Genomic DNA, 5,015 nt, shown 5'->3' with positions numbered 1-5,015 from the left:
CTCAAACTCCTGACCTCAAGTGGTCCATCCACCTCTGCCATCCAAAGTGCTGGGATTATGGGCATGAGCCACCATGCCTGGCCTGCAATGCCTTTTCTGACCTAGCCTCAGAAATCACCCACTGCCATTTCTGCTGTATTCTATTGGTCACATGAATCAGTCCTGCTTCAAGGTAAGAGGGGACTACAGAGGGCATGGATACTCAGAAGTGAGGCTAACTAAGGGCCATCTTGAAGGCTGGGTGCCATAAGTTTCTAGGAAAGAGTCCATTCCATAAACAGTTTTAGGTGAGAAGCATGTGAAACAGCAACAGATTCAAAGGATATTGGAAAGTGCCTGTTGACCAGACAAGCAGAAACATTTAAAATGTTTTTTTAAATTTTGTAATTTCCCACAATGCTGTTTACACAACGGGCAATGATCTGTAGCTTGAGGTGGCAACTCCTTAGAAACCTGTAGATTGAGTTGCACTTGAACTAAACAGAGAGTTTTGCTTCAGATGAGGGAGAGTCAGCTCTCAGTGACTGGCTTTCTTCCAAAACCCTGAAAATCCATTCCATTAATTCTGGAACCTTGAACCCAAGAGTCAGACTAGTGCATGGTCTGAGTTTTGCTACCTGCAGGCACTTTCTGGACCAGGATGTGGCTGCACAGTGGAGCCCTTTGTTGTGCTCTGGGCAGAGGAATTCCACTGGCCTGACTGCTTCAGGGCTCATTTCCTGAACAGGACGGTTCTACCACCTGGTGGACCGGTCTCTCCAAAACAAACAGGCTCCTCATCATGCCTCCAAGCCTGAGCCCTGTGCTGATCCCCAAATGCTGGGGAACAGAGATGACCCATGGACTCCTTATCAAGTGCCTTCAAACACCACTTGCTCATAAGAAGTTTTTACATTCATTAAGTTCATGCTACCAAAGGTCAAGTTCCCACTGCAGAAATGAAAAAAAGAAAAATGAGGAAGACAAAAAAAACCCAGAAAGCTGAGAAAGCAGCACTGAAAGAAACCAGAGAAAATGAAAAGCCAGCAATTGGTATGCTGAGCTTTGTTACTTAGTCATGAACATAGCCTGAAAATGCCACTCTCATCTTGTGGGAAGTTGTCCTTTCAGCCATTCCAAAAAAATAATAATAATAATAACAATACTATGGTACATTTACTTCATGATGTAATACATTAAAATACATTACCCTTTAGCTTTCTCAAAATAACTTGCTGAGGTCAATATTATTTGCCTCTGGCCACTCTAAAATGGCAAACCCTCCTTTTTTCCTAATCCCAGTTTATTTTTTTTCATACAGCTTCTCAGTATTATTTGCCTCTGGCCACTCTAAAATGGCAAACCCTCCTTTTTTCCTTATCCCAGTTTTTTTTTTTTCATACAGCTTCTCACTATCTGGCATTGTATTCTATGTCTACATATTTGTTTATTTTCTTATTGTCTATTTGCCTAAAAGGTAAGCTCCATAAGAGCAGGGGTTTTGCCTATTTTGCTTTTTGCCACACTCCCAGAGAATACTCCATAAATTATTGTGGAAAAATGACTTTTGCATCAAGTCAGCTATGAGAGGTTAAATACCTTCCCCCAGGTCGTTTAGTCCAAGTTTAATGCACTTTTTACCCTGTTGTGCTTCCTGTTTTCTATATCAAGAGCCAAAAGCCCAGATTTTAAGAAACTGAGGCCACCAAGTTGCAAAGTGGGAACATGGAAGAGCTCAGACTAGAACCTAGGTCTTCTGATATCTAGTTACTCAGTCATGTGTTTGCTATCACAGGCAAGCTAAGGGTTGTGCCCCAGCATATAAAGGTAATGGTGAGGTAAGAAACTACCCTTTTATCCTCTTGGTTTTTCCACTGTGGCTGTTTGGCCTCTTGGTTTATGGGCCTGTAAATGCACAGTGTGCGTATCTCAGCGTTGTGCAACATGCCTTGCTCCACGTCCATTCCACTCGATTATCAACACGATCTGTAAGGAAATAGCTTGAAAACAATTACACCTGCCTACCATGACTACTTGGATGCATATAGCTATGTGTCTACATGGGAGGAATTTACATCCAAGCCCTGAGCAAAACATCTAAATCAGGTCTGGGCATGGTGGCTCATACCTGTAATCTCAGCACCTTGGGAGGCCAAGGCAGGAGGATCACCTGAGGTCAGGAGTTCTAGACCAGCCTGGCCAACATAATGAAACCCTGTCTCTACTAAAAATACAAAAATTAGCTGGGCATGGTGGCATGCACCTGTAATTTCAGCTACACAGGAAGCTGAGGCATGAGAATCTCTTGAACCCAGAAGATGGAGATTGTAGAGATCCGATATCATTCCACTGCACTCCAGCCTGGGCAACAGAGCACTCCAGAATGGGCAACTCTGTCTCAAAAGCAAAACAAAACAAAACAAAAAACAAAAAACAACAACAACAAAATCTGAATCAGCACAGGGATTAAGTCCCACGGAAGTTCAGAACAGATCTCATTTGTCATATTTACACATTTTCAGGACCATTTGACAATTCGTTATCTATTTTTGGCTTTACTAGGTAAAGCTGAACCCTCACCACCTGGTTTTTTCCTTCGTTTCTCTGGCTTTGTCTCTCCTGAGAGCTGAAAGTAGCTGCCAGGATGGAGCATGCCCAGTAAACACTCAGGAGTTTTGGTTGTCAAGTTGGGGAACCTACAGCAATTACTCCCTTATGCCCATTTGCTTGTAGAGCCAAGAACAACTGCAATACATCAGCTGGGAGTCAACCCTCACGAGCAAACAGATTAGTTCAGCTTATATCCCTGAAACAGCTTGTTAGGTGGGGTCTGGCTCTGCTGAGCAGAAACACATGTTTATACCCAAGTGACTCAGTTCAGTGTATTCCTCCGGAAAACAGTGTTGGAGTCCCTGTGTCCTTGGCATTAATTTGGTGGATTTGTTACACTGGACCCATCTTGCCCCATCACTGCTGTGTGAGCTACCTTTCCAAGGCCTCTGTCTGCTCTGCACCACAGGGTGGACAAAAAGAGCATTATCTGATACACTACTCAAGAACTGCGGTAATCAGGCTGAAAATAAATGAGGGAATTTTTGCTAGTGAATACATTGAATCAAGTGACTGCAGACTGTAAATTCTCCTCACAGTTTGTCACATTTCCATGTTATCTTTTCCCCTTGGAAAGATGGCATAAAGAAAAAAAATCACTGGAAAGAGTATGGGCCTTGGAATGTGGTTTCAAATCACAGATCTGCCATTTGCTGACTGTGAAACTTTGACTGGGATGGCTAACATTTCAAAAATCTCCTTTTTTGTTTTTATCTGTAAGCCAGGTCCAGTGACAGCTAACTTGCAAGATTGCTGTTACGTTTGAATAATGTGAGTACAGCTACTGACAGTTCCCAGTAGGCAAGCAGGGTCTTCATATATGGTAGTGAATGTGATTATCATTAATATCACTTGCTAAGTTTCCACTGTGTGAGTCAGGATTAGGACAGCCACAGTCTCACTGAAGGGCGGAGAAGGGAAAGCTGGGGGAAATCCTTGTCACATCTAACTTTTGTGACTTTGGACAAGTCAACCTGTCTGGGACTTAGTATCTTTAAAAATACGGAGAAATATGAGTATGGTGGCTCACGCCTGAAATCGCAGCACTTTGGGAGGCTGAGGTGGGCAGATCACTTCAGGTCAGGACTTCGAGACCAGCCTGGGTAACATGGCAAAACCCTGTCTCTACTAAAAATACAAGTTAGCTGGGCACGGTGGCACCCTCCTGTAGTCCTAGCAACTCAGGAGCCTGAGGCAGGAGAACCGATTGCTTGAACCCAGGAGGTGGGAGGTTGCAGGGAGCAGAGATCGTGTCACTGCACTCCAATCTGGGTGACAAAGTGAGACTCTGTCTCCAAAAAACAAAAAGAATCACAGGAGTTCAGAGAAGGGAGCTCCAAGGGCAATGGTGCAGGTTGCCTGAAACTCAGAGATTCCTAGTTTAAAACAAAAGACCTTGAAAGTGATTTATCCTCACAGTATTCAAAAGGTAGACTTTACGATTCAATAGAAACACCAAAGTCCTTAAATCATCTGGTCTATCTTGGAAAGGTAGGGCAGGGCACGATGGGGCAAGGCCAGACACCAAGAGCACATGTTAGTTTTATCTTTACAGACAAGGAAACTGGAGTCCAGTGATATGATGAGAGTGAGATGGGAATGGTGAGGTGAAGGCCGGATATTTCCAAATTTGGTCAATGGAAGTGGAAAGAAATCAGGGTTTAGAGTCAGACAGACTGCGTTTGCTGTTCAGTTCCTCCCTTTACTAACCATGCGACTAAAGCCAAATCACATTGAACCTTTTCGAGTTTCATTTTTTTTTTCATCTGTAAGAGGAGGGTGAGGAAAACACATCAATGGTATCACTGGGGTTGGCATAGGGATAGAGTGAAATAGCAGCGACAAGGATGCAATTTAGCACCGAGTTGTGTTCCTACCCCTCCCTGTCAGTTGTGATAATGAGTTTAACCCCTTTTCTAGGCTGAAGCCAATAGAGAGCTCCCATTTTGTAGACCAGAAGGCAGGGAAGATTGTTCTTTTCTCTTAACTGGAATAAAAGTGTAAGCTGAGTCAAAAGCAGGGCTGATGGGTTTTATTATCTTTGTGTTCTAAATACCTATCACAGTGCCAAGAACTTGGAAGGCACTACAAAAATATTCAGGAACTGAAAATATCACCAGGTTGTTAACGAAACTTCAAATTGTTCCTCCACCTACACCATCCCATTTTTACAATAGAAGAAACACCAAATCGACATCATTTGAGAGAGTTCTGCTTCTGGCCCTGTGAAGTACCTTCTATTGAGCCAATCTACATAAAGATAACAACTATAAAATCTGGACAAAATATCGTAAAAAATTAACTGAAGGCACAAGGGAGTGAGTACAAGCACACAGATACTGGAAGAGAGTTGATTTGTGGATGTAGGGAATGATACCAGCTACATTTCTCTTTTTTAAATTTTTAAAAAATTGTTTTCAGCTTTT

At 42.9% G+C, this 5,015-nt stretch overlaps 1 annotated feature.

The window, feature by feature from the left end:
• Positions 500 to 794: a silencer, noted in NCBI's record as "tiled region #10363; K562 Repressive non-DNase unmatched - State 20:ReprD". NCBI's record gives its function as "represses a minimal TATA promoter and a strong SV40 promoter by Sharpr-MPRA in K562 cells {active_cell/tissue: K562}" and the evidence as "EXISTENCE:reporter gene assay evidence [ECO:0000049][PMID:27701403]".

The sequence above is a fragment of the Homo sapiens genome, chromosome 6 (assembly GCF_000001405.40).
Source record: "Homo sapiens chromosome 6, GRCh38.p14 Primary Assembly".
In the NCBI taxonomy this organism is placed as follows: Eukaryota; Metazoa; Chordata; class Mammalia; order Primates; family Hominidae; genus Homo; species Homo sapiens.
This window is presented reverse-complemented; position numbering and strand designations above follow the sequence as displayed.